This window comes from Homo sapiens, chromosome 18 (assembly GCF_000001405.40).
Source record: "Homo sapiens chromosome 18, GRCh38.p14 Primary Assembly".
Classification (NCBI taxonomy): Eukaryota; Metazoa; Chordata; class Mammalia; order Primates; family Hominidae; genus Homo; species Homo sapiens.
In genome coordinates this window covers 50,638,352-50,665,250 of record NC_000018.10, presented here as the reverse complement: position 1 = coordinate 50,665,250, position 26,899 = coordinate 50,638,352, and the positions used below count along the sequence as shown (strand labels likewise).

At 47.4% G+C, this 26,899-nt stretch overlaps 1 protein-coding gene across 9 annotated transcripts in view; it reads right to left on the bottom strand.

The window, feature by feature from the left end:
• The window catches only part of MAPK4 (mitogen-activated protein kinase 4), a 172,215-nt gene that overhangs the window by 66,576 nt on the left and 78,740 nt on the right, over positions 1-26,899 (bottom strand). For 5 of the 9 annotated variants that reach the window (XM_017025839.3, NM_002747.4, NM_001292040.2 and 2 more), the window contains exon 2: positions 747-2,162. The exons of 1 other annotated variant lie outside the window; for it this stretch is intronic. In XM_017025839.3, the coding sequence (XP_016881328.1) occupies positions 747-1,292 (546 nt within the window). In that variant the 5' untranslated portion in view covers positions 1,293-2,162. Of the gene's footprint in view, positions 1-746; positions 2,345-5,790; positions 6,195-14,971; positions 15,217-26,899 lie in introns of those variants that run through there. 3 more of the 9 variants (XM_011526074.3, XM_005258299.4, XM_011526075.4) reach the window with 3 other exon arrangements.

Genomic DNA, 26,899 nt, shown 5'->3' with positions numbered 1-26,899 from the left:
TAAGAGGAGGTCTGGGCCCTTGAGAACAACTCAGTGTGACATTTGTCTCCAGCAGAGTGGCCGGGTCAGCTCTGATCCCTGCAGTTGGTGGAGCATTTAGCACCCACCACGGGGAATCGCAATAGTACCGTCTGCCACCCATGGCTTTCACATCACACTGAGAAGCAAGAGCATCACGGGACCCAGGAGAACAGAGTCATTAGCTGGATAAGGTACAGTGAAGGATTAGCTCATCAGATCAACAATTTGTGCCTGCTGTCCACTGACTGAGAGAAATGGACACCGAATGGGTCAGCTTGGATGGGATGAGGGAGGTGAGACCAACCAGAGCATGAGGCTCACAGGGTGGGAAGCCTCAGGGTGTGTCCTGAGCACACAGGAAGGACATGGGATGGCTAAGTGGACAGCAGGGATAAGAAGATGCTAGAGGCAAATTCACCAACCACATAGTTTTCAAGCCATAGAATTTAGAGCTGGAAGAAATTTTGGAGATCGTCTAGTCCAGCTTCTGCAGGCACAGCTCAGGGTGATCAAAGCCACATAGCAGAGCCAAGACCAAGAACCAGATCTCCCTCCACGCCTCCAACAACTTTTCAGGCTAGTGATCTTCCTAGCACCCTCCAGCCTCCCCTAATTACTAACTCTAGTCCTCTGACTACCATGGAGCTAGGAATAGCTTGGGAATGCTGCAAGTATTCTTGGGGATTCTGTGGACCACCAGTATCCGCCATTCCAGCCAGACATACCTTGTGGGAGTAATGCTGATCAACGATCCTTGCCAACCCGAAATCCCCAATCTTGAGCACGAGGTCCTCTGTGCTGATGAAGATGTTGGCGGGCTTCAGGTCCCTGTGCAGCACGTTGGCGGAGTGGATGTACTTGAGCCCGCGGAGCAGCTGGTACATGAACAGCTTGGCATGCTCTTCTGCCAGCGTGCCCTGCTCCAGCAGGCGTGCCAGGTCGGTCTCCATGTACTCCTGGACGATGTACGCCACGCTGAACTTGAACAGCTCACCCTGCAGGTCAGTGCCCTTGGGACCGAGCACCTCGTACACTTTGACGATGTTGTCGTGGTCCAGGCGCCGAATGATCTTGATCTCTCGGAGCGCGTGCTTCATGCTGCGGGCATCGCTCAGGGCAATCTTCTTCACAGCGACCTTCCGGCAGGCCCGGCTGTCCACGGCCGACAGCACCAAACCATTGACACCGAAGCCCAGGGGTTGGAAGTCAACAAAGCGCCCACCGAGGTCATACCCATAGACACTGGCGATGCAGTCACCCTTCTCAGCCATTGTGGGCTCAGTGATCTGGAGCTGCCCAGGTAACACAGGGGCAGTCAGGAAAGGCCAAGTCTCGGCTAGCGGCCTCCCTCGCGCACCTCATTCTGTCAAGTCCCACGGCTGAGGGATGTGTTTTCTCCTAGTGAGGTCACTGCCACCAGCTCTCTGGAGACGAGAATGGCATATGGTCATGCTCGCTGAGCTGTGCTAGTTGGGGGCGCAGGCTGTCGTCTTAACCTGCATTGGGAGGGCTGTCTACTAATTCCTGTGTTTCCTGAACCCTTCTTAAAGCTTAGAATGGCTCATATTTCTTTTAAAGCTGGCATCTTGGAAAGAAAACCCAGTATCATTATCTATGGAATGTCAAGTTTTCTACCATAGTGGACTGCAAAGTAAAAGATGCAGAAACTCTCCCCTTTGAATACTTTGTTACAAGAGGCTCTTTCTGGCTGAAATGCAAGAGTTGTTTGCTGAGCTGAGCTCCTTAAGATGCTCCAAAGCTCAGCTGTGTCACAGCCTCTTTCTGTGTTCCAAGCAGTATGCAGGGATCCCATCAATGAATTCTGGAGGCATCCAGGGGCTTCTTTCTACCTCTCCTGTTTCTACCAGCTCACCTTAGATTCCAAAACCTGAGCCAGTCTGGTAAGCACTGGTGAAAAAAGCTGGAGAAACACAAGCACCTTTCATGAGCTCTACACCAAGTTACGCCTGAGGTTCCAAATGCAGGGGAGCTCAGCTGCCAGGCCAGGATCCTCTGGAGCCTTTGGATGTGGGCAGCATCCTCTTTCACCAGCTCATCCACGCCACCTCGCCCAAGACTGTATTCCACTGCACCAAGAGAGGCTGCAGGAATGTGGCATCTTTCAGACCAAGTCTCCTTCCCTGTCAAAGAAATAACGTTGGGTAAATTTCCACACTCCGGCTTCCAACACCTTCCCACTTGCGTCTTTTGTTAACCAGCCCAAGTGTTATTTGATCTGTCCAGCCAGCTGAAACACTGCTTGCTCAGGGGATTCCGGGGCTTTGCACTGCCCAGCCACCCTCCTGCTGTGCGTAGCACTCCCCTGGAAGAGACAGAAGATGGATTGATTTGATAAGACCATCAGATGCTGTGCCTCTTATGTCAGTGCCTGCTCCCCCAAGTTTAACATGTGCAAATTACGGTGGAGAATTATCCCTTCTGACCTTCGGAAAATTAATTTGTTTTATGCTCTCCAAACACACACATCAGCGCTAGCTAGGAAGGGTGAGAGTAGAAAGCAATGAGTTGCAGACAGAAAACAAAGGATCGATACTCGTGTTTTTGCACTTGGGTTCCTTTTCTTCCTTCTTTTACAAATGTCTTTGAACATTTTAAGAGGCTTTCACAGGGACTAAGATGTAATGACATTTGTATCTCTTGCTTTCCACGTAAGTTGAAGAAGCCCATGTACCAAATTACAAGGAAATAATGTTGCCACCTATAATAAAAGGACTCTCTTTGCCCAGAAACCAGGGTGCAGAGTTCCCAGTGCTATATCAAAACTGGCATGGTGAGCTGTATTCTTTTTGACAATGTGACCTCGCTCTTCAAAGCAATGGGTCAAATCTAAACTTCACTGTCCCTGCCCTCTGGTGGCTGTTGACTCAAATTACAGGTATAGGAACTAAGTGGGGAGGAAAAACCCTGCAAAACTAGACATGTAAATTCAGATCTCTGAAGTAAGGTAATATCATAGCGTCTAAGAGACTGGCAGGTTTTCTAAGTTCATAAAGACCACAGACACACAAAGAAAGAAGACTGTATCCAACACAAAGGCATGAACTTGGCAGACTGCTGCTTTATTCTCATATCGCAGGGCCTCCTATAGAGACACTTTGCTATCTGAACTTCGCACAACTCTGCAAAGATAAATGAAGCAAAAACGATAGTCAACTCAATGCTCTGAAATTAAGGGGGCAAATTAGGGGACACAGATGATCTGAAATAGTAAACAATCAGATCGCCTGTAAAGACTTCTAATGAAGGAAATTTGCCAAGGGTCTAGAACATAGTAATTGCTTAACAGATGTTACCTATTGTTGCTGTTTAGTTAAACATTCCCTTACATTTGAATAAGATGTACTCAAGATTCTGATAATTTGTCAGATCTTCGGTAATTCTGTTCTGCATGTTTTTACTGGGTCCAGGAACAAAACAACCATAGACTTACAGAATTTCAGATTGGGAAGAAATCTAAGAAAACAAGGCCCGTGGTCCTTATCTGGAGATGGTACTGCCCTCCTCACCTTATTTGACTGGGAGTCATTACTGGTATTTAATGGGTAGGGCCGGATTTGCTAACCATTCTACCGAGCATTCCCACCTCCATGCCCAAATGCCCAGAGCACATCCACTGACATCCACCCCTCCACCCCTGAATGCCAACAGCACTTCCACTGAGAAACATCGATTCTGATTCCAGTTCTAACTTTACAGGTGAGGATACCAAGGCTTGGAGAGCACCAGCTTAGTGCTTTCAGCATACATAGGGTCAATATCCATCTGATGAATGGATAAATGAATACCATTCACTCTGTTTGAGGATGCCCAGCCACTAAGAGACAGTGCTGGGAGCACCCAGTGAACCAGATTCTATGGCCTGTGCTAGCGAAGTTGGCCTGGATACCTAACTCAGGGGAATCAAAGAGCCTCCACAGCTCTCCATTCTCTCCCTCCTTGACTCCTGCTGCCCAAGTCATGTAATGGCAACTACACTGAAGCTTCTCTTTCTCCCCACAAGCCTGGTCTGACTCCCAAGGGCATAGCAAAAAGAGGCAATTGCATATCATTATTTTTTTTAGGAAGAGACATGCTTAAGCCTTCTTCCTTTCCAGCTTCTGCTGGGTTGTAAACAGAGAGAGGAATGAGCACCTAAGCAGAGGGGATGACATCACAAGCAAGCTGAATGCAGGATTTGCTTGAGATCAGCTGCAATGCAGATAATCAGCGAATAATTAAGAGGTGCTTTATTTATTTTTAAAACTCTTTCCCTCTCATGCATGGGAGGGACTGTATCCCGTGTGTGTGTCTCTTTTTCAGTGGTCTTCCCAATATGCTGTCAGCTTAGGGGCCAGGTACGATGTCAACGTGGCAAGCCTCAATTCCAGCCACTCCACCTTTCTTGTGGGCTGCTAAATAGACTCTTTGCTGCCTGGCTTTTTTGCTTGTATCTTCCCAGTTCCTGAAATATTCTCCTGCTTCCCCACCACCCCCATTTGTTGAAATCCTATCATTCAGAATCCAAAGTCTCACTTCTTTCCTAAAGCATCCATCCTGGTTCTCAATGACATGTCTCCCTTTTCTAAACTCCTGTGGCACTCATGTGTACGCTGTGTTTGGCATTTACCATACATTAGCCTGGGCTGTTATTTAACTTTTTGTACATGTCCATCTCCCAACTAGACTGTAAGCTTCACAAGTAGCTTACAGGGCACAAAGTAGAGCATAGAAAATATCCGTTGACTGGAAGGAGCTGAGTACCGTTCATTATGTCTACACAGTGGTGATGCCCACGTTTCCTAGGTGGTCACTGTCCCTTGTGATACTTGCCATGGAAATTGTTCAAAGGGCGCATCTCACAACAAGCCCTAACCATTCAGACCAACTAATATTTCTGAACTTCAATCCTCTTAGTAACATATTCTGCTTAGATGCTGCCTCTCTTAGAGTTTCAGTGCTCTAATCAGGCAGCCTCTTGTCTGACCATTTCTCTGTTCCCATTTGAGTTTATTATTATGCCTCTCTTCTCAAGCCTCTTCATTTTCTGTTTCTTTCTTTCCTGTTTCTTTACAGAGCAATTCTTTCCAATTCCTCTGTAATTTGCATTGTAAGCCCTTTGCCTTTCTCCCTAGGTGGGCTGATTACAAGGCATCCACCGCCTAAGAAGTCTAAGGTTAGTGGTCCATTTCTTGCATGATATGCTGAGAGGTGTGGGCCCACTGGCCCTGGGGAGGAGCAGACTGGCATCTGGATGTGTCCACCTGGGCAGGGGAGTGGTTATGGCAGCTCTTGGTGTGGTGCAGCTTCTCAGGGCAAAGCCCAACCATTCTCAGCTCAAAGGTGGTGGTTCAGAGCTGCTCCGAATCACAGGTGTGATTTCAAACCCAGGGAGGTGGCATTCACTGTCTGAGATGGAAAGGTCACTCGTTCAATCGTGCTTGAATGACACCCAGCAAGAGGAATGCATGGAACTCTCACAAGAGCAGCCAAGGTCCCCACGATTCCATGGCTGGGCATCGTAATAAAACACAGGAATAGAAAGTTCTACCCTCAGGACTCTGAACAATGGAGTTTCAGCTCTCAACTGCTTTCTCACTGACTCTCAGGTAACAGCTTAGTTGAGGCCAATTAATTATTCTCTCACTCATCCAGCCTTTTAACATGCGGAGGCAAACCAGAGATGAGATGGCGTGTGCCAACTGTCCCTTTCTGGGATTCCTGGGGCTTTGGTTTACAAATCAGCTTTGGAAAGTCTAAATTTAGACTTACCTCCCCATCTGCTCAGATCCTCCCGAACCTCATGCTTTCGACTTTCCACAGGAACTATCTCCCCAGCAAGGTGCTGACATTTCACAGACACTGCTTTCTTCCCCTCTCCTGAACACTCTGAAACTTACAGGAAGCCCTTCTCCCGAGGAGCCGCTATTTCCAGCTGAGCATGCTATGCACTGCACAGTTCTAGGTGGCACCATTCACATCGCAGTCAGTCTGACTCCAAGGCTCATGATCCTAATGAGTCACTGTGGTCTATGTGAATGGAGTCCTCTAGACCAGGCATTGGCAAACTTTTTCTATAACGAGCCAGATAACAAATATTTCCATGTTTGTAGGACATACAGCCTCTGTTGAAACCACTCAACACAACTTAATTCTGCCTTTATAGCACAAAAGCAGCCACAGACAATATACCTGAACAAATGAGCATGGCTGCATTTCAGTAAAACTTTATTTACAAAAATAGGTGCTGGGCCAGATTAGGCTTGTGGGCTGTAGTTCGTGGACCTCTGCTCTAGACTCCGTGGGAACATCCTCTAGCTCATTCACAAGCAGGTCCTGAAGTGTGTTGGGACCCGGCCCTTTTCTGGCTCCTCCTGCACTGCACTGTCTCCTTCCTCTTGGACTCAGTCTTCCTGTTGCCCCTCAAGGCGACACTATCCCAGGCCTGGCCTCCTAGGGAGCTACCTAGGAGGTGAGGCTTGGTTCAGCTCATATGCAAATTTGATGCCCTCAGGGCCCAGCTCTCCAAAAGCTACCTAATCTGGCCTAAAGTCCCTTCTAGTTCTGCAATTCTGTGGTATGGCTGATGTGCCTTGCTCCGCAACCCCACTTGCATCTTAACAGAAGCCTGCTGGAGAGATGGTAAAGAGGACATGATGAAGATGGTGGAACTGCATGTCCTGAGGGTTTACCAGAGGCCAACGGCTTCACCTGATTATTTCAGTTGGGTCTTACAACACCCCTGTGAGGTTGATATCGTCCTCCATGGAGCTCCAAGAGGGAAGTGATTTTCCCAGAGTCACCCTCTGGCAGGTGAAGAATCTGGGATGTCAACTCAGGTTGGTCCAAGTCCAACACTCACGCTCTAATCGCCATAGTATGATCTCAGCCCCAGCGAGTGACTCTTACCACAAACCATCTAGGCTCAGTGTGAGTTTTCAGGCCCAGTGAGGGAAAAATGTGGGGTAGGCACACCTTGTGGTATGTCTCAAATTAAAGCAAGAGGCAGCCACCTTTTCAGCCTTTGTTCAACCCAGTATGGAGGCCACAGTAAGCCCATTCTATGGAAAGAGAAACCAAGAAATAGAATGTTGAAATAATATTAAAAGTGGAGTAAAAAACCCTTGATTTTAAACAACCACACCCCCACCTTCCATCATGTTCTTGACCTTTAACTGTGAACCTCAGCCATGCTAGAGCCTGTGGCACAGGGACTGGGCATCCTTGGGACGAGCTGGCTGACTTGCAGGCATCCTGACTAGCACGGCCTGTAGCTGACACTGACTGTGGCCACCTACCCAGGAAACGTTCCTGCTTCCTCCTCACGAACAAACCAGGTCTGGTTCGGCCATCAGGCAGCTGAGCCTACCCAGGAATGACTCCCAGTGGGTCTAAACCAGGGTTTCTCAGCCTCAGCACTGTCAACATCTTGAGCCAAGTGATCCTTAGCAGTGGGACTATCCTGTGCACGGCTGAATGTTCAGCAGCATCCCTTGCCTCGGCCTCCTAGATGCCAGTCACACCCCCAAGCTGTGACATCTGAAAGTGTCTCCAAACACTGACAACTGTCACCTGTCGGGGAGGCACAAAATCACCTCTGGTTGAAAATCACTGGTCTCAATCAGCAGTTTTCAACAGGGTTGGTGTTGGCATTTGAGCTGGGTGCCTCGGACTCAAGGTCAAGCTGTTGGCCAGGGCTGCAGTCATCTCAAGGCTCAAATAGGGAGGAAGATCGGCTTCCAAGCTCACTCAGGTGATTACACAATGACTCCGGCCTCAGCTTCTGCAGTTCTCTCTGTTTTATGGGATTGTACCATATACTATTGCTGGAAGTTTAACAACTCTGATCCCAACCCACTAAATGCCAATAGCGCTCCCTGGTCCCTGGGTCAGACTCACATTTCCCGGAGTCCCAGGAGGTGATGTCATCTCCCAAACCCATCCCTGTTGAGGACCATGAATCTAAACCAACTGTGGTAATACAATTCCCTCTTGGCAGTGATTGCTTTAGGGGTGGTCATATGATCCTGTTCTGGTCAACAAGCCTAAGGGAAAGCCTGCTGGGGAGTCCTAAGGGAAAAGGTTTCCTTCCCAAGCAAGAAGAAATCCTACTTCCTGTTTGTGGATGCGGTTGTAGAGGAAGTGGTGTTGGTGCTGCAGCAGCTGTCTTGAGGCCACGTGGGGAGGTGGCAGAGGAGTGTGGGACCTTGCTGGCATCGCTGAGGAGCTGAGCCACGCCTGCAACTACCCACCTCCAGCTTTCTTGCCAAGAGAGACTGTTAAGCCCTACTGCTGTTTAAGACATTTTTGCTTTGGACTTTTACATTTTTTTTTACTTGAGGCTGAGATGATCTGACAGTAACTTGCTCAGCACACGGTTGGTCTAAATGGAAAGTGAGAAGAGGTAGGACACATGGCTTCTGACCTCAAGAAGCTTATATTCATATTGGGGGAGTGGAACTACAACAATAATTATGGAAACAATGCAGGAACATTCAGGGGCCAACTGTGTGATTCCTACTATAAGCGTAGCAGGAAGCAGGGTGAGTCCCATCAGTCAGAGAGGCTCTTGGAGGATGTGGAAGGCAGCTTCCCAGATGCCCCAGTGATCCTGGTTTTCAGGCCTTGTGTCATCCCCTCCCCTTAAGTGGGTGCTGGACTCACTGACTCATTTCTAAAGAATAGAATTTGGCAAAAAGAATGGGATGCCACTTCTGAGATCATGTTATAAAGAGCCTGTAGCTTCCATCTGAGGTAATCACTCTCTCCTGTTCGCTTTTGGGGAAGCTGCTGCTCCTTCTTGAGGCAGCCCTATGGGGGGATCCCTGTGAGTTCTCAGAAATGGACCTGCTGGCCACCGTGTGAGTGAGCTTGGAAGCAACCCTTCCCTGAGTTGAGCCCTGAGTGGACTACAGCCCCGCCAACAGCTTGATGGACATCCCAGGACACCTCGAGTCAGAGGCACCAACTAAACCATGCCCAGATTCTTGACTCTCAGGAGCTGCGTGGTAATAAATGTTGTTTTTAAGCCAATAAATGTTGGGACATTTGTTATACAGCGATAGCTAACTAATGGAGAGGAAGGACTTGGAGATCTGCAGTTCTTGACTTTCTAAAATAGAGAAGAGGCCTTGAAAAGCCCTCCTTGAGTCTGGGGTCCTGGGTCTCACCTGGCATGGATCTCATTAGATTCCAGAGTCAGATAGAATTCTGGGGAGGAGGGGAACCTTACCTGTCTGTTTTCACTGATGTAACCCAGGGTCCAGGGCAGTGTCTGGCATATAGAGAGGGATTCAATAAATAAATATCAGTGGACACAGGAATGGCTCCATGTTTGCAGTAAGATTTTGGTTATGACACAGTACAACCCACATGGAAAGATAAATTTAAAAAGCATCCCTGAGGCCCAGAAAAGAAAGTTTTTTAAATCCCTCCAGAGTGAGTAGGGGCTAAAAGCAGGGGTTCAAGGGAGGAGGCCACACAGGCCCCCAAAAGCATAATGACCAGAGGTGTTTCCTCACCGAGTTAAGAACTGCTGTGTAACTGCTGATCTTTACCATTGAGACTCAGCCGGGTCTCACTCTCAGCGGCGGCAGGGGGACCCCCAGGAATTAGGAGAAACAACTCTCCCTGGCTTTCCGGCTTTTGAAATTAAGCGCTGCTCCCTCCACCCCAGAGGAGTGCAGGCTGCAGTGGTTCGTGTGGAGTGACCTGTGCATGCTCAGGAACTCATTTTCCTTTGCAGAAACCCTGATATATGGGCAGATGGCTGCTCCTAATGGTGCCGCCCATGATGCCAACCTTGGGCTACAGTCCCTATGCCTGTTCCTCTCTCATGCCCAGCACCACTCCCAGCCCAGGACCTGGGATGACCCTTCACAAACACCAGCCAGCAGGACACCAACCGACCCGAGCCAAAAGCCCAGCTTAGTCTAAAATAAATACATCTCAAGCAGAGGAACCACTGACAGGCTCTGCTGCCCATGATGGGCCTCAGGTGAGCCTTCTCCCCCTGGGACGTGTGAGCCTGTGGTGACTGCAAACATCTTAAGGTCCCTGGGAGGCAGTGATGCCACCCACCCTGGGTTGTGTTTCCCTCAATACGGTTTTCTAAAGAACACGCCTGTGGGGACACTGCTGAGAAAGAAACAGGAGGGGACCCTGTTATCTTCACCTCCCTGAGGTGGGGTGGTTAGAGGAAAGAATTGAGGGAGGGAAGAGAAGTTTGCAGAAGGAACATCAGATGCTGGGTGGGGAGTTCCCTCCTCCCCAAAGAGCAAACTCCAGGAGCGTTCAGGCTTTGCTCTGTTTTCCTTTTGAAAATTACGTAACCAGCCAGGGAGAACAAAGCCTTCCCATGCCTCTCAGCGATACTAAAATAGCACGGAGAGAAATTCCGGCTGCCTCGTCGGAACTCCAGCACCACATCAGCAAAGCTGGGGAAGGGGAGCATCTGGGTCCCTGCGTGGGAAGTCTGGGAGCCGGTGGCCACGGGCATAGCACCAGCTGCACAAAGGCCCCTGCCCAGGCTGAAGGCTGAGTCCAGCTTCTGGTCCACAAGTGTGCCAGGGGGCATGTGTAGCAGGTGTGTAAATCCTTCTGATTTTAAACGACTCCTGCAACCTTTGACCCTTGTAGATTCAAGGGGAAACTTCTCTTTTTAAAGGAAGGAGATCTGAGATAGCAGAAGATGGTGGCCTCTTTCAAAATCTAAATCAGTGCAATTATGACTTCAGTGGCTAAATAAGGTGAGGCCCTATTTGGGGCTTGCTTTGTTTGGGCTGTGTTCTGAAGGGAAGTGATCCCAGCCGGATCTGAGCTTCTCAGAGGAGAGGCAGAGCCTGCATCTTTAATTCTCCCACACTGGCTTCAGTACTTATTGAATGGTGCCTGCAGGCCACTGTGCCTTCCCTGAATTGGGAGATAACTCTGTGAGCCCACATTTAATAAGCCATCATGGGAATGCAGAAAGTCCTCTGGCAGCTCAGTGTTCAGACCTGAGTTTTCCTGCCGAATTTTGGGACCCATAAATGGGACCACTTACTTTCTACCTGCAGGGTTAGCCCATGGCAGGGATGCTCAAAGATCCTTGGCTTGTAGCCACAGGAGTCCGTATTATCTTGCTTTCGACCAGCAATGGCAGATGTGTGCCGTATATACTACTTCACTCCATTTTGTGCCTATGGCAGACATTGATAATCAGTCATGACTCTCTCCTGATGAGCCAGGAGAATCAAAGTCCTTCTAAAACAGCACTCCTGAGAGCCTCTGCCAAGCATCTGGAGCTGGCACTCAGTCGGAGCCCATGTGCATCGGTGGCCTTGACTCTGACCTCACGCTCCCATTGCTAACGGGATCTTTCTTTGTCTCTGGCACCAATCCCTGCCTTGTTCCCCAGGCACACAGTCCAACTGCGCTAGCCTTTATTGAGGGCCTCCTAGGTGCTGGGCATAGTCATACACATTCAACAACGTTTAAGTTGAAGTTTCATTAGTTACACTGTGAGGTAGGCGGAACTATTCTCAGTAGATTAATCAACTCAGCACAGTGCGTGGTGCACAGTAGGTGCCCTGCAGGTGCCCATTCTCCTCCGCTTCCTTCCATTTTGCAGAGAGTTGAAATGACTTCCTCAAGATCACACCCTAGAAGGTAGAGCCTGGGTTCTAAACTAGGCGTGGTTCCAACACCAGTGAACTCTGTCATCTCCCATGGGGCTTCCTGTTACAGAGCACTCTTGAGCATCCTTGAGTGCTTGCTTCTGTTTTTCTAATTTTCCCAGTTTCTTGGAGAAGGATTTACCTTGCTTCCTTAACTCATCTTGGGAACTGACATCCTTTCTCACTGTCTCTAGCCTCTGATCTCCAGTCTCGCTGAACTCTACTCACCAGCCATAAAAGGTATCTTTCAGCTTATAGATAATGTCACATTTCCCTTACCTCTGGGCCTTCACACTTGCTGTTCCTTTTGTCAGGAAAACCTGTTCCTTTTGTTAGGGAAACTGCCCACCTTCTCTTCGCCTGGTTCTTTTTTTTTTTTATTTTTTGAGACTAAGGTCTTGCTCTGTCACCCAGGCTGGTGTGCAGTGGCTCGATCATAGCTCAGTGCAGCCTCAAACTCGTGGGCTTAAGAGATCCTCCTGCCTTAGCCTCCTGAGTAGCCAGGACTACAGGTGCATGCCACTGTGTCCAGCTAGGTTTTTCTTTTTTAAAACTTTTGTAGACATAGGTTTCATCATGTTACCCAGGCTGGTCTCGAACTCCTGGGCTCAAGCAATCTTCCTGCCTCAACCTCCCAAGGTACTGGGATTACAGGTGTAATCCATACCCAGCCACTAATTCTTATTCATCCTTTAGGTCTAAGTTTAAATGTCCCTTCCTCCAGGAAGCCTTCCCTGATGTCTCCTTTCCCTTCCCAGACTAGCTTATCTGTTCAGGCTGTGTCCCCCTCTTAGCCCTTTTATGTCACTTTTCTCTCTGTTTCAGTTTTAACTGCTGTGTTTGATGTTTGACTGGAAGTGCAGTGAGGGCAGGAACTCATCATGTGCATCGCTCTATTCTCAGCACCTAATTCCTAACCTACTGCATCAATATTAATATCTGAGCAGTGCAAATGCATTCTCAGAAGCTCCATACTCCAGACCATAGTTTACAAATTCAAATTTCTAATACTGACTTCTTTCTACCCACCGAGGGATACCAACCAGACATGAGAATTTCACAAGTCTTATCTGATTTAAATCCTAGATTCAGTCCCTTTAAATTTCATAGAGTTCTTGACTTCCTTCCACCCAGCCCAGCCTGCCTCTTACCCAGGTGCATCAGCTCTTTATCCAGCTGACACATAGGCATGGCTACCTCCTACTATTCCCGGGGAGGCTAATCATTTGCAGGGGTTTTGCTCAGAGGCAACAAGAAATCATTCCTAAAGCAGAAAAAAGTGATCCCTCTCCCAGCGATTGCATCTCCCTGTTTTCTGGTGAAGAAATCTATTTTGACAGGTCAGGTCAACAATCCCTGGACCATACGGGGCTGTCAGAGTCCAGGAAAGCCAGGGAGCCAGGAGGCCTGGATTCTGGTCCTGCCGCTGCCTGTGAGCACTCCAGCAAGAAGTCTCATCTCTGTGAGGTGGGAATAACAACACTGCCCACTTACTCATGAGAGAAGAACAATCGGGCTGGCAATACAGATGTGCTTCCAGAAATAAGTACAGTCATGACCACAACCCAATTATACCAAAGTGAACAGCACCCATCGCGAATTAAGTGGGCTGTAGGGGCTGGTAGTGTGACCCCTTCTCCTGCCTTGGGCAAGTCTCAACACACCTCCAATAGTAGGGTGGCCTTCACACGGGAAGAGGTGAAACCACTGCACATGTGTTTTGAGTTTCTTTTCTGTGAGAGTTGGGAATGGAGACTGGCGGGAGCATCAGGCTAAATTATTTCTATCTCCTCTTCCAGGACACACAAAGACATCCAGCCTGTGGTGTGGGGTATCAAGGAATGAATCTACAATGAATTGCCAACTGGCTAACCAAGTCCATTATGGTGACACCATTCCCTCGGTTCTAACTTCCTGACTGCCGCCATGTGTCCGCTGCCCTCCTCTGTGGGTGCCTCCTTCATGGAAAGATTATGAAACCCTGAGAGTCAGACCCACATGCCACAGAGATCACATGGTAGGGACATGAGTGCTGGAGAGGAAACGTGGTTGTACACTTGCTTTTGCACTTGGCTCCTTGTTCTAGCAGGAGAAATACCAGGGAGCGCATTGATCTCCTAGGAACAAGGAATGCCCTGCAGGCCCATAGCGCATTCCACACACCCACAACCCTCTTAGTCTTGATGGTCAGGGCCCGTGGGAGGCCACTGGATCACAGTACACATGGTGAGAGAGGGAGAGAACTGGTCAGCCTCCAGGTGAAGAGCTCCCTGGAGGGAGATGACAAGGCATGAGGCTCCACCGACTGGGTGCGGAGTGGACAAGAAAGCAATGGAGCTCATGGACCCAGGGAGATGGGCAGTGGGGAATCCACTGTAAGCTCTCAGATGAGACAAAGAACAAGAGCCTCAACGGGAACCCCAGTCTCCCCAGCAGCACCTGCGTTCCTTGCTGGTTTGATTTCATGCTGAAAAAGGTGACCATCCAGCCTTCAGGCATTAGTCAGTTCATACTAATTACAGCAGGAACCCAGGCAACTGAAATCCAGAAAGAGGAAAGGACTCTTCCAAGGTCACTCCTGTTTTTGGAGCAGGCCCAACCCATTTTGGCATTTCTTGGGCCTGGGGCTAACCTTACAGGGCATCCTACGTCAGGTGAGGAAGGGGAACCTGATCCAGCCAGCAAAGGCCCGTGCATGGCCAGGATTGGCCAACTGCAAAGAAACAGCTCCTCCTCCTCAAATAATTAAGTAATAACTTTCTATCAGGAAAGAAAGAGTCACATATCGACCATGTGGCAGCAGCTACCAGCATTCCAAATCAGAATCCTCTCCCTTCACTACAACAGAGCTGGAGCCAGGCTGCCCTCAGGAAGCGATGGCAGGAGGGGACTGAGAATTAGCCCTGTCCTGGTGAGGAAGTGCAGGGCTGGTGCCTAGTACAGCACTTGGCCTCCACTGGGGCCCAGCCAGTGTTTGCTGGGTGAGGAAAACATCAATTCATTCTAGTGTGAGATTGGAGAGCCAAGCCCCCTTAAGGCCAGCCACAAAAGATGCCTCTGTTCAGGTGTAACCAAGACAGTGAATAAATCACAGGAAAGTGGACAGTCTCATGCCCACATGCATCGGTGGGAAACAAAACACTCAGGATCCTGATGATATGAGCCAGGGTGCAGGCCCAGGCTAGGGGAGCAGGGACAAACAGGAGGAGCTAGGGAGAGGAAAAGAGGAGAGAGAAAGGGAGGGGGTAGTGGAAAGGGGGCAATGGGCAGAAGGATGTCAAGAGAGAAGACCTTACCTCCAGCCCCAGAGGCAGCTGCCTGCCTTCTTTTTGAGTTGCTTTGCCGTGATTAGCACTCAGGACACAGAGACGGAGTATTCTCACTGCCTGGGAGCCTTGGACATACACTTGATATAGTCCTCAATGCAGAAAATACTGCAACCTTGACAACAGCAGCAGCACATTAGCTTGACAAATGCAATCCTGCCAGTAGCCAAGATCTCTACAGTTCTTCCAGGCACTGGGAGTCCAGGACAGGAACTGGATTTAACCTGCACAGTGTAGTTATTTCACTGGGAACCCAGATCAGGGCTGGGGCCCCAGCCAACACACTTGGATATTTGGCCTGCAGCGGGCTGGATGGTGACGCACTAAAGCATTCCTTTGCCTCTACACACTCCAGATAAATGAACCTCAGGGTTTCATGAGTTCTCAAGAACCAGCAGAAACCAGGCTCTGTCTTCTTGCTATGACCCGGGGTCCTTATGTGCTGGGAACAAGAGGAAGTCAATGGGTTTGGGCAGGGGCTGCCTGGGGAAGATCTCAGCCACCCCGCAGGCTTATATAGAGTCCTACTTCCAAGCTACCCTTTGGGAGGAAGAGTACTTGATAGATATTGCCTTTAACCCAATGCATGGGCCAGAGCAACTTGGGGCTCAGAAAAGTACTTAAGGTGGTCAACTTATACGCATCATGCACAGAGCTTCCTTACGGAACACACACGAAGAGGTAAAGGCTGGACAGGGAGAGGTGGGGCTGGATCAGGTCAGCATAGGCGGGAGGGGCTGCCTCTCCTGTGTTGATCACTTCCCACCTGGAGGAAACCAAGTGAGGATGTTGTCATTGAGCGTGGCAGGAGGGGACAGAACCCTCACCTGTCCAGTGCAAACCTTCTGGGTGGAAGGCAGATTGCTTTTAGAACTAGGCCTTTTTATATTGCCAATGACAAAATCATTTTCTTTTTTCAAGGAGTGATGTCAATTGTTTTTCGTTCTGAATCAGTTTCAACTGCCTGAATTGCAAATTAGGATCCCAAGTGTGGGAGTGGGTAGACAGAGTCTGAGGACACCTCAAGGGGCCTAGCCTCAGAAAGCCTGAAGAGCAACTCAAGTGGGTCTCACACGGGACTGAGCCAAGGGCCCCTAGGGGATCAGATCACTGGGGTTGGGATGGAAGATTGGCACCCAGGGCCTACCCCCATCCCTAGGTTTAGTTTTATAAGGCAAGTGTTTCTCTCACATAAAACAAAAAGCAAAACAAATCGCCTTTGAGAGTGATCTCTTTTCACCCTGTGGATCATTTTGTCTTTTCTTTGACATAATTGCAGAGAGGCGTAGAGTCCCAGCTTCAAGTCTACCCTCATCCAGGCTCCAAGGACCTAAGGTTCTCTCTACCTTCCTTTGAGTTGTCAGCAATGGTGGCTGGGAGTAAGGCCTGGGACAGTCTTGCTGACCTGCCCCCATGAGGCCACCTCCCAGGGCAAGCATAGCGAGGGTAGGGGTGAGGCTACAGTAAAGCAGGGAGGTAAAGCCTTATCGTGGCGATGCTGCAGCCTGTCCCCTTTCATCCGCACTGCTTTAGGGTAGGTCCTGGACATCTCTAAATACCTAGATGCTACATCATGCCACCTCTAGCTTTTGTCCCCTGCAGCAGCTGGGTGTGAGAACCATTTACTTTTGCTTTCCTGCAGCAGAGAGCACTGTAGGATCTGTGGCATCCCTCAATGAATATGTTCAGAATAAACCCTGCAATGCTCTCTCTGCCGCCCTCCTGCATCCCCTGCAATCAGTCTTCCTTTCCTCAATTATTCCTAAAACATATCTATTCATTTCATTCTGTTAAAAAGTTTTTTTGAATAGCTCTCCACTGCCCCACAGGTTCCTCACACACAAGCTTCTCACACAGCCCCCACGGTCATGCCTGCACCTGTCTTCCCCACTCTCCAGAGGCTGCCCCCCACACCACAGCCACACAGAATGGGGTGATCTTCCCTGATTCACCACATTCTCCACACACGCAGGTCCACCTGCTTGTGACACTGTCCTCTCTGTTTGCCTGGAGCAACCCTGCTCATGCTGTGCTGAAATGTTACCCTGACACCTTCAGAGCTAACATCCCTCCAGTTCACAGAGCACAACACACACACCCACAGTGCTTATCTCATGGGACTCTCTCTCTCTCTCTCTCTCTCTCTCTCTGGGTCTTTCTTCCCATCATACTGGGAATCCCAAGAGCAAAAGCATGGTGTCTAGATTTACCCTTATACCTCCAACCATGTATGGTTTCTGGCATGTAGTAAGTATATGCTCAATAAAAAGTTGATGAATAAAAAATGATGCAGGGGTGGGAATGGGCCTAGGGACTTGAGAGTGGCAAGTGTTTGGAAGAGGTGCTTGGGGGAAGTGAGTCATAAAGGTGCCCTTCCCTGAAGGGTGGGATTTGCTGGGGGAATCATGGATTAGCTCTCTAGAATGACAGCAGAGGCTTAAGAGGAACATGTGGAATGAATGGTTGAGCACTGAAGACCAGGCTGGGCTCACAGACTACAATGGCACAGCAGGCAGGAACTGTGGCAAAGGACAGAAAATGGGGAGGTCAGGAAGGAGCTGAACGAGGTGTGGAAAAAGGAATAAACTAAATAGGGGTGTGAGAGTTCAGTGGCATCGAAAGAAGCTGGGAGTGGAGAAGGGATTGAGCCGACGGTAAAATTCTGGTAACAGCACATGCTCTCTCAGGCATCATACACAGGCAAGGCTTCAAATGACACAGTAGGAAGACCAGCTTAGAAGAAAACCTGGACAGCAACTGCATGCCCCTCCCTCGGGTGTTCATTTCTTTTTCTTCTCCAGGCTTTCAGATCATCGCACTGACAAACTCAAGATGCTGAATCTGGGTTGTTTACCAAAACTGAGTACAAGTTATATCCTCAGGCTCGCTTCTCAACTTCCCTCCCTCAGGAGCAGCCACACCACAAGACACTGTGTAGCTTACAGACCATTTTCAATAAATTCTCCTTACGAATCATTTTGCCTGATTCTTCTGGAAGCCTCAGCTGCCACAGACAGTTCTTTTATTGTTTGGTAACCCCATGGATAGCAATAAAATCAAGATGAAAACACATTTGCAAAGCAACTTTCACTGTCCAAAGCACTTGCATGTAGCATTATTGAATATTTAATACTTTCATGTAATATTTATAGAGCATCACTATGTACCAGGCAATGAGGATCCAGTCCTGGGCCCCATGGAACTTACAGTCTGGGAGTGGAGGGGCAGATGTGATGCAAATAATGGCAAAAAATTGTGACTGCAGATGATCACAACTGTGATAAGTATATGATGGAAAAGTACAGGACGGAGGTAGCAAGGAGACCATTACTTTGGGGAGAAACAGCAGGCTCCCTGAAGAAGTGACATTTAAATTGAAGAGTGAGTAGAGGCTATCCAGGAGGTGGGCAAGGGTCCATACCATGACCTCGAGAAGTCTGTTGCTGGAGGAATAGAGAGACGGCTAGAGAGATAGATTCTGCTGGGCCATGGGAGGCCACAGGTAGAAAAATCAAGTTGAGGAAAGAAGTGGGGCCAGATGGGGAGGACCTATTGTGCTCCCCTCTGAGAAAGCTTGAGCAAGGGGGGTCATCATTATCTGTCCTGTGAGGACACAGAAGCTTCCTGGTTGGGTTCGCTGGAGCCCTGGGGACAGAGATCATTGCAGACCCTGCTGAAAGTCTTTGCAGCCCCCGTCCCTCTGCAGTTCCACTTTGTCTATGCTCAGGGGGTCCAGGCTTGGTGCCACTCTGCTCCATTCCGTGCTCCCAGTGGGATCCCTCACTCGGGATGGCCAGCTCCAGGTGTGCTTCCAGGGCACAGAGGACCCAGGGACAGAATAGGACGAAGTCACTCTGACCACCAGAAAACAGCCAAGGGTAAGTCACCCTTGTAGTGCTCCACTAAAAAAAGTAAAGATGCCTATGTGACTTGCTGGAAAACGATGGGAGAAGGCAAAGGCCCATGGAGGAAGAGCTTCAGGGACAGCCTTGGCTGGAGAGGGGAAGGGGAATCTCTAAGGGGAGGTGACTCTAGCAGGGAGTACAGTTGAGAACCTCTGGCTTAAAAACAAACAAACAAAAAACACCAACTCTGAGCTCAAGTCTGACCTCTGCCACTTACAGATGCTGTGATGTTGAGCCTCAGTTTCCTCGCCTGTTAGCTGGAATTGATGCCTTCCATTTTTATCCCACAGGGTTTTTGTAAGAGTTAAAAGCAACAGCTATGAAGTCAGTGTGAAAAGTAAAAATACCACACAAAAGATTGCTGAAATAATCACATAGATCCCATTTACCTTCCAAACTAGACAGTAATAACAGGAAACAATGTACTTCATCTAACCTAGGAACATGCCATTATTACCTCCACCTTACACATGGGAAAACTGAGGTATGCACTGGTTAAGGAACTTGCCCAAACATACCCATCTGGAAAGTGGCAGAACTGGGCCCCAAACCCCAGCCTTCCACCCTCAGATGCCATGCCCTCAACCATTAGGCTCTGCTGCCTGAGTGAATTAAATGCCCCAGGACACCTACTAAGAGCTGTCCTGACCATAAGGCCCGTGTAATGAGTGACACAATTAAATTCCCATTGGCTTGCCATGCACCCCTTGACAAGGGACTGCCCTTCTCCGGCTCTGTTTCCTTTTGAGGTCAGAACAGGAATCCCATAAGTAGGCTCATTGTAGAAAAAAAAATTAAAATAAGATAACTGTGGCTTCCACTGTTGGCATGAAATGGCTGTCACTGTGTAGAGTGTCTAATAATCACACACATTCATGCATTGATTCTCATATGCCCATCTCTCCTCCAGTCCGAACACAGCAAAATCATCTCTGCTAATTTTGAGAGCTCATGGTGCTGTCATTTCTAAAGCCACTATGGACAGCACGTTGGCGTTCACCTCTTATCTTTAATCGCAGCTGTCATTTCTAAGGCCACTATGGACAGCGCGTTGGCATTCACCTCTCATCTTTAACCCCAGCTGTTATTTCTAAGGCCACTATGGATGGCGCATTGGCATTCATCTCTCCTATGGATGGCGCGTTGGCATTCACCTCTCATCTTTAATCCCAGTGCTGTAGATGTTCAGCAGAAAGCTCCCTTGCCTCTGAGCGTGTCTTTCGCCATATCCCGCCTTCCACCAGTTCTCCCTGCCACTCTCTCCCAGCCACCCACTCCCTGGCCTGCAGGCCTCTCCTTCTGCTCTCCCTCACCTTCCCTCTAGATGGCTCTCGCCTGCAAATCCCCATCCCATCCATTATTCTCCACTGCAAGTTTGAGCAGTGTCCCCTTAGAATAGCCATGTGGCAGCTTCTAGAAGAGGATGGAGGTGGGAGTGGGTGGGATGATGGGGGAATAGCACGTCTTATGCAAATGGTGAAAAAACATCTATCGGCCTGGTTCCAAGGTCGCTTGCTGTTCCTTTTCTTTCTCTGCGGTGCCCTCTCTTCCTGCTTTTCAAACACTCATACTCTTCCCTGTTAGCACTCACATTGAGGATTTGAGCTCAGCCATTTTCTACTAAGATACCAGGTTCCCTTTCCCAGGGGATTTTTATGTTAAGCTTTATCTCTATGGAATGAAAATCTACATCCTGGTTATAAATGTTAGGCATCACTTTGGCTATTTTGGCGATGCGGGGAATGGCTTTCAGCACATTAAAAATGACATTGCAGAGGCCATTTCCAGGGCTTGGAGAGAAAGGAAGAGGGAGGGGAAAGGAGCCCTTTGGAGCAGTGGGTAAAGGATAAGGTAAGGAAAGCAGTTCCTTCCCTGTGTCTGTTCTCCCTGCTCTAGGAACTCCTGAGGATTTTGCTGCATGACTGAATAGGCTTGGGGCCCTCCAGATACCCAATGGCAAGTGTGACTTTGTCCCCAGCCAGCTAGTGGATCCTTGCCACTCAGTGGTTCCAATCTGGTGATTACCCTCCCATCCCCCGACCCTCAGTCTTCCTGTCAGCTGCTCTTCTGTCTCCCTCAACCTCCCCAGGTGTCATTTACAGGGGGAAGCTCTTACCAAGGCAACCAAAGGTGAACATTATTTTACCTATCATGTTGTTCCCCCCTTCCCTCTCCCAACCAAATGAAAAGTTATCTAAGCAAAGTGTCCTTTTCAGTGCAGAAATCTCAAATCTTCTTGGACTCAAGTCCAACTGGAAAGCAGCTGCAAAGAGAAGGGGAGGCAACTCAGATTTCTACTAAGATGTGGATCTGCAGGCATTCATCTCCCTTTCCACCGAGAGGGCATTAAAGTTGATAGTAAGGGGATCTTTTCATCAATATAACCCCATAATGATGAAGAGAACAGGACGGGAACAGTCAGAGGACAAGGGATGTTAAGACATTTCTGAAAGGCAAAGAATTCAATTGTCTTGGCCCAGACTGCACAGTGAGGTGAGGGTAGGTGCAGGGGGCAGCCGTGGAGGATGCCGTCAGCCCCATGGATATTTGGAGAGGCCCTAGACTGAGGTCAACAAGAGGCAAGACCGGCAGGTGGGAGGGGCTAAAACCATGGGATTACTTGAGGCTTGCATGAAACTACTGAAGCCTCCTTCCACCACCCAGACCTCTGTGTGTAAAAAAGCAGGCGGTTCCTTCTCCCTCCCATCTCCATCCTCTTAAGCCTCAAGTGGCAGTTCTGAGGGTACAGTGTTCTGAGTCGCACTGGACAAGAAGATATGGGATGAGAATTAGTGAGGAGGGAATTTATTTTATTTTATTTAGAGATGGAGTTTCATTCCATTACACAAGCTGGAGCGCAGTGGCGCGACCTCGACTCGCTGCAACCTCTGCTTCCCAGGTTCAAGTGATCCTCCCGCCTTAGCCTCCCAAGTAGAGTAGCTGGGATTACAAGTGTGCACCACCATGCCATGCCTGGCTAATGTTTGCATTTTTAGTAGAGACGGGGTTTCACCATGTTGGCCAGGCTGGTCTCAAACTCCTGACCTTGAGTGATCCGCCTGCCTCAGCCTCCCAAAGTGCTGGGATTACAGGTGTGAGCCACTGTGCCTGGCTGGGAATTGTTTTTAAATAAATTCATAATATAAATGCTGCTTACTGGTTTTCAACTTCGAGAATCAATCTGTAGGTAAACATGTCACAAACAACATGTAAATGTCATCAACTTTGACAATGTGAAGAAAAAATACAGTGGAAAAAATATTGGGGAGGTAGAGGAAAGAACGAGGGAAGGAAAACAAGTATATTCTCATATTGAGTTGAGAGCTGCTGCTAAAAGTTGATGGGTGGAGAAATGAAAGTTAACGAATAAAGCACCAAAAGGATAATCAACACTAGCACTTTAAAAAGTCTGAATTACTATCAAAATCAAATATGCTGCAGGACAGGCGTGGTGGCTTATGCCTATAATCCCAGCGTTTTGGGAGGCCAAGGTGGGCGGATTACCTGAGGTCAGGAGTTCGAGACCAGCCTGGCCAACACTTGCCTCTTTGGTGACACTGGCGTCCCTGGATAGAATGGCAGTTCCTCATTTGTTTACCTTTACTTTTGCAGGGGTTCAGTGATGCTGGGCCATGAGATCTGACCTGTGGCATATCTGAACAAGAACTATTCTATCAGGTTCCACATGCAGTGTTCAAAGGCCAGATGGTCCCCCTGTGGTTAACACCCTGCAGGGGTTGTTCAACTCATGCTTCCCTGTGTTTATATTACAGGGCAAAGTTGCTCCTGAAAACAGCATCCTCATAGGCCTTATTACTTGAGTTTAGGCAATTTCTCAGAGTTTTTCTTCACTAACTATATTGGGGTGGTTGTTTCATAAAATAAGATAAAGGAAGAAGGGCAAAATGCATACACCAGCAGTTTTTCTAAACCAAATATGAAGCATACTTAGTAATTTAATTTAGAATGATCAATTGAACCATCACCCGAAACCCATTTCCTAAAATCCCCTGGGGTGGAATTCTTCAGCTCTGGAGCATGGGCTGGACTTCCCAATCTTCAAGTCAATTTCCTCTTCCCAAATATACAATAATACATTTCAACTGACAAGCAAACAGCAGCTAAACTGCGGGGAAAATAATTTGCCCCAAATTATTAATTAGAATTCATTTAGGGGAATTTCATTAATTGGGATATTGCTTAGACTTCTTTTAAAGTGGTTATCATTGACTTATTTTAATTACAATCCCCTGACTTTTACTAAAACCATTAATGGTCATTAATATATACTGTTATATTTACAGGGCCACAAACATATTTTGTTTTACATGTAAAAATGTAAGTTATATAGAATGTCAGGTCTAAAGGGCTTTCGGAAGTAATGTTGCCACAGAAGGCTTTTGTAAAATACAAACCCTTACAGGAAACCAAGTACATATGAGGAGAACTTCTAACAGTTATTGAACACTTACAAGATAGATACAGAATTATGCTATTTAGCATAAATTTACTTTACTTTTAGTATAAGTTTTAACTATTTAGTTATAAAGACAATGAGAACATTGAACCTGATTCTTATGTAATAATTATCTAGTTTATTTCTAAATGTTGTTTACTAGCATTTTATTGAGAAATCCTAACAGATAAGTTACAGCAAATGGTACAATAACTTTTTTTAAACAGTTCATATTGATAATCTCAAGTTATTTTTAAGTTAAAAAGAGATGGCAGAATAAACTGTGGACAGCTAAAAATCAAATTAGCATATTGAGGGTTTCAGTATGTTGAAATTTGATAAATAACATATTTGAGTGTTATTTTGGTTACAATTTTTAAAAAGATAAAAGTATATATATATTTTGAAGTTCAAATCGAACATCTATAGAACAGAGTGTGTTATTTGGATTATAATTTTAAAAAAGATATAGATTTTTTAAAAAGTTCAAATCAAGTATCTATAAAACACCAAAGCACCTTTAAACACAATTTAAAATCTACAAACCTGTATGAACTTCCCTACAGATAAGAAAACTGAGACCCAAGAAAGGTAGGGAAACTTGTCCAAATCCCATCAGGATTTAGTGACAGGCTGAGATTAGAACCAACTACTGATAATCGTCCAGCCCTCTTTTTATATTCTGTGTTTCAGAGGAATGCTTTATGGGGATTTCTATGTGGAATGTGGCTCCTTCAGATCTTCAGTGAGCCAGTGAGAAGACAAAGAATGGAGCCTGGCTTCATGGGTCACAAACAGGACTTCTCACTCAACTCTCCCCTTTTTTTTCCAGGTGACAGCTGATGCGGATCTTCTGACATTGACAAATAATCATCTTTGGCAAAAGCAGATTTAAAAGACAAAAACGCTGATTTGTGAATTTGCAAATAATCTTTGTTTGCTATAGGACATCAGCCTTTTCCTTATTTTTCTAGGTACCTTCATGGAAGCCCGCTCCAGTCTCTAAGTTGTCCCTTCCTCTCCTTCCCTGACTGCGCAGGCACTAATGCATCAGTGTGTGTGTGCGTGTGTGTGTGTGTGTTTAAGCCAACAGAAGGGATGAAAGATGAAAATAGCCATAACTGGCTGGGTGCGGTGGCTCATGCCTGTAATCCCAGCACTTTGGTAGGCCAAGGCGGGTGGATCACCTGAGGTCAGGAGTTCGAGACCAGCCTGGCCAACATGGTGAAACCCCATCTCTACTAAAAATACAAAAATTAGCCAGACGTGGTGGCGCACACCTGTAATCCCAGCTACTTGGGAGGTTGAGGCAGGAAAATCGCTTGAACCCAGGATGCAGGGGTTTCAGTGAGAGCTGAGATCGTGCCACTGCACACTCCAGCCTGGGTGACAGAGCAAGACTGTCAAAAAAAAGAAAAGAAAAGAAAAGAAAGATAAAAAAAGAAAATAGCCACAATCCCTGCTCTTTTGGTAAGGGCATCCATATAATTTTTTTTTTTTTTTTTTGTAAACAAGAAGAATGTCCTGGGGACAAGAGCCGATTAAGATCTGTGTATAAGTCCAAGTTTCTTTGGCATGACCTCAAGGTGACAGAGCATGGCCCCTGAATAGCCATGCTGTTGATATGGCCCCCAAGGGGGTAAAAAGCCTATTTGGTTGTATGCCTCTGATTTCCTTCCAAATGCTTCATTGTTGACAGGAAGGGACTCTTCTACTGCTAGTGTGGTTGTTTTTGCTGTGTGCCCTTTTGCTCCTGTCTGTCTATATAAAGATCACGTATGTGTGTAGATATATATAAATAACACTGGTCTATGCTCACAGTTCCTGAGATGAATATCTTGCTCTAATGTTCCCTTGTAGAATAAAAGGTTTGTGACATATTTAAACTGATTCCATTAGGAGAACAAAAGAAAGTGAGGTGGCTATAAATATCAGACGCTAGTTCAGACCTGTGGTTAGTTGCTAATAGAGACAATTATTAACGAGCGAAGAGTATATAAATAGCATAGATTTCTCAAGATAGATGCCTGTCCCACTGTTCCAGGTTCCTAATGGAATATTCTACCAGGTGAGCTAATCAAGGGAACAAACTCTTAATCATCCCAATGTCCAACAAGGAAGGACTAATTAAATTATGATACGTCACCTGATGGGGAAGAAAAGTTATGTTTGAAAAGGCCATTTAAAGACATCGGAAAACGTGCATGATGTGGCGCTAAGTGATAAAATGTTACTAAATGGTGCAGAGTCTAATCCCTTTTATGTTTTAAAATTGTATGGCAAAAAGACTAGAAGGGTCATCTTTTAACATTTTGCTTATTATCTGTGAGTGGTAGATTACAGAATTTTTTTCCTTTATAATTTTCTGCATTTTCTCCTAAATTTTCTACAATGACCATATATAATTTTGGAACATTTATATTGAACCATAAAAGTGGTTCAACACTAAGATTACAGCTTTTTCTCATTTACCCCCACCTCCCTTAACAAAATACCAAACTCTCAGAGCCCACTCAGTGAACACCATGGAAAAGGGTTTTTCAGGATGCAAACTACATAGAGAAAAGGCAGATGACAGATTTCTGTCTCAGAACTTAACTAATTTGGCTCAGGCTTAAAGATTTCTGCTTTCTTGGTTCACTCCCATTTCCAGTCATCCAGCTTGGCACCAGCCCTTAGGGAATTACTTTATGTCTTCAAGGCTGCTCACTTCCACCCACAGGCCAAGGTTTAGCTGTGTTTTTCTCCATTCCCCAGGTTTCTGAAACAGCAAGGCCATTTTGAGCCTGGGGTACCAGGGCGCCCCCTCTTGACTTAGGAGGCAGCTGCTCTCCCCCATCTGCCTGGTCACCTACATGACATTCCCAGGTTGTGCCCATATAAGGCCTTCCTCCTCTGTGGAGGCCTGCAGATAAGCAGACCTGGCTTGGAACCCTGGCTCTGCTGTTTCCTAGCATAGCACCTTGGGCAGGTGGTTTAATACTGCTGAGTCTCAGTTCCCTGTCTGAAGAACAGGATAATCAAATCCACTTCTCAGGGCAATATAGAGGCTGGAGATCATGTACACAAGGACATTGCTTAGTGCCTGGCAGGGAGCAGCCAGTCCGTCAACAGCAGCTGCTAATAGGATTAGGATGCTGCTGATGCTGCTGCTGCTACTGACTCTCAGTTATTCCTTCCAGAACTTCATCTCTCTCCGAAAAGACTCCCACATTTCTTTTCATGTTCATTTCTCCATGCTAGAACAACTGCATTAATGCAACAGTGCTGACTTAGGTTTCAACTCCCTTGGCTCCTCTTGGGTCGTTCACCTCTAACCTACTGTGACTTTGGATAGGTGGTCTCCCAGAAGAGAAAGTGACACCCGGCAGTAAATACGGAAACCTTCAGGGTGCAGCGGCTCTTGGCAACTCCAGGATGCCTGTTGTTGTTTGTATTAAAAGTGCTGATGCCTCAGCTATTCAGCTGCAAGGGGAAAGACGTGCTGCCTTACTCAGGCAGAAGGATAAATTCACTTTTGAAAGGCAAGCTCACGTC